General features: G+C 55.1%; 1 annotated feature.

The window, feature by feature from the left end:
* Positions 267 to 561: an enhancer, noted in NCBI's record as "tiled region #11471; K562 Activating DNase unmatched - State 8:EnhW". NCBI's record gives its function as "activates a minimal TATA promoter and a strong SV40 promoter by Sharpr-MPRA in K562 cells {active_cell/tissue: K562}" and the evidence as "EXISTENCE:reporter gene assay evidence [ECO:0000049][PMID:27701403]".

Here is a 2583-nt window from a genome sequence, read left to right on the forward strand (position 1 = left end):
AGCTCAAACACTCACTGTGGGGAAGCCTGCCCTCATCCCCGAAGCTAGTTTCCCAGCATCCACTTCTCCATTTTGTCCCCCACCTCCTGCCACGGCCCTACCAGGTAGAACTGGCTGCCTCCCAAGCATGCCACAGCTTTCTGGCCACTCTTTGTTCTGGGAGATGGCAGCCAACTGAAAACTTCCTAATCCCTCAAGAACTAGCTCCTTCTCCCTCTGGCAAGCCCTGTAACTTTCTTTTCCCCATTATCCAGGTGGCTGGTAAGGTCTGCTTTTCTCTGGATCCCACTGTTTTCCAGACTGGATATTCTCTGCCTTTGGGAAGAATGGCCCTTTCTCTTTCTCCCCTGGCTCTGCCTTCCCCAGATTACTGAGGGCCTCTGGGCCTCTGGGCCTCAAGCCTCTCCCGGAGTTGTTCCAACCTGGGCCACCAGATGGCGCCCTCCAAGATGGGAAAGGATCAGAGAGACGCCCCCCCACCCCCACCCCGCCCCCCGCCCTTGGGGCAGGCAGGAGTTCTCAGTCCCCACTTTGCCACCTCCTGCCTGGTTCCTTCTGGTTCCTTCCTTCCTCTTTGGATCTCCAAGAGTCCTTCTCCTATCTGCCCCGTCCCTAGATCCTATTCACATACTTCCCTTGGCTCCCTATGGCTCACCGGATAAAACCAGGCCCCAGCTTGGCAGTCACAGGTTGCCCACTCGGCTCACCAGCTTCTCCGACCACGGGGCTCAGCTTCCCTCCTCCTGCTGCCAAGCTTGGTTCATGTGGTTGCTTCTGCCCAGAATACTCTCAGCCCCTCTACCACTTGCCCGGGGCCCCACCCCTCATTCTTAGTAGGGGAATAGGAAAGGTAGGCAATTCCCCCAAACCTCTTTGCTCCATTCCCGCACCCGCCCCCCGCCCCCCAATAAGCCCCCGTGGCTCTCGCCACCTAGGCTGCAAACTGAAATGCCTGCAGGAACCCGACAAGAGACCCAAGTGAGCCAGCCGGGCCTCAGCCCTACCCCCGTCACAGGCCAGCTTGTTTGAACATCCTGGCAGCTGTATCTTCCAATATTCTCAGAACCTGACCATCTCTCACCATCTTCACTCCCATCACCCCAGCCAGAGCCACCCTCTCTCTTGCTTGGATTTCACCAGTAGACCCTTAGCTGGTCCCCCCAATCCTCACCACCAACCCCCAGCCTGTTCTCCATGCCAGAGGGACCTGTTAAAACCTAAGTCAGGCCATGGCCATGCTCCAAAAGACACCCAGAGCTCCAATCTCACAGCTCAAGCCCTTCCCAGGGCCAAGTCTCCACACAGCCACCGTGACCTCTCTAGCTTCATTCCCTGCTTTCTCCAGCTCCTCAGCTTCCTGCAGCACACCAGGTGCCCTACCCCAGGGCCTCCACACACACAGCTCCCATCATCCCTCAAATACCTACACAGCTCCCTCCCCAGGGTCTCCACACACAGAGCTCCCATCATCCAGAGCACCCTTCCCTCAAATACCTACACAGCTCCCTCTCCACCACCTTCAACCATCTGCCTGCACCAGCTTTTCCCTGAGGCCTGCCTAGACCACTCTATTCAAAACACATGTGCACACACGTGCACCCACCTTCCCAACCCCTTTCTTTTCTCCAGAGCGCCGCCACCTTGAAATACATTTATTTTAACATCGGATGCCCCCCTCCTAAAAGTATTGGATCTTTGTTTTGTTCAGTAATGATCAGTCACACTGTACTCACTCAGTCCTGTTCTTCCTGTTGGTGTTATACTAATTGTTGAATGAATGCCTCATCTCAGAAGATGGCTCCTACTCAGCTCTAGTCAACGGTGGCTATGCAGGACTGAAAAGTTCATATTGTCACAGATTCCTGTTCTTTCAAAAGAAGGCAAAATTCTTTTTGTTTTTTGTTTGTTTGTTTGTTTTTGAGATGGAGTCTCGCTCTGCTGCCCAGGCTGGAGTGCAGTGACTCGATCTTGGCTCACTGCAACCTCTGCCTCCCAGGTTCAAGCGATTCTCCTGCCTCAGCCTCCCAAGTAGAGTAGATGCGATTACAGGCACCTACCACCACGCCTGCTAATTTTTGCATTTTTAGTAAAGAAGGGGTTTCACCATGTTGGCCAGGCTGGTCTCGAACTCCTGACCTCAAATGATCTGCCCGCCTCGGCCTCCCAAAGTGCTGGGATTACAGGCGTGAGCCACCACACCCGGCCAAAATTCCAGATTTTTACACACAAATTTCTCCAAATGTTAAATGTTGGCAATTGACTAAATTTGTTTCAAAGACACTGATGGCAAAACCCAAACTCCCCAGCTCCACATCCTTGGCCCCAGAGGTCTTGCCCGCTGATCCCTCCTGCCCCATCAGCTTCCCCTCAGCCCCCCGCCTGCGATCACGCGGGCTCCGTCTTGGAGCCTTCGCTCCCGCTGGGGGCTCATCCTGAAGCTCCTTCACCACACAGGTGAGTAAGCACCAGCCCATCCCCCGGCACCCACCCAAGTGGCCCAGTGGTTTGGTCATGGACACGCACGGCCCCCCAGCAGGAGCAGGAAACAGTGCCCTCCCTCTGGCTGGGAACACAGAGCTTGAG

Source organism: Homo sapiens, chromosome 19 (assembly GCF_000001405.40).
Source record: "Homo sapiens chromosome 19, GRCh38.p14 Primary Assembly".
NCBI classification, from domain to species: Eukaryota; Metazoa; Chordata; class Mammalia; order Primates; family Hominidae; genus Homo; species Homo sapiens.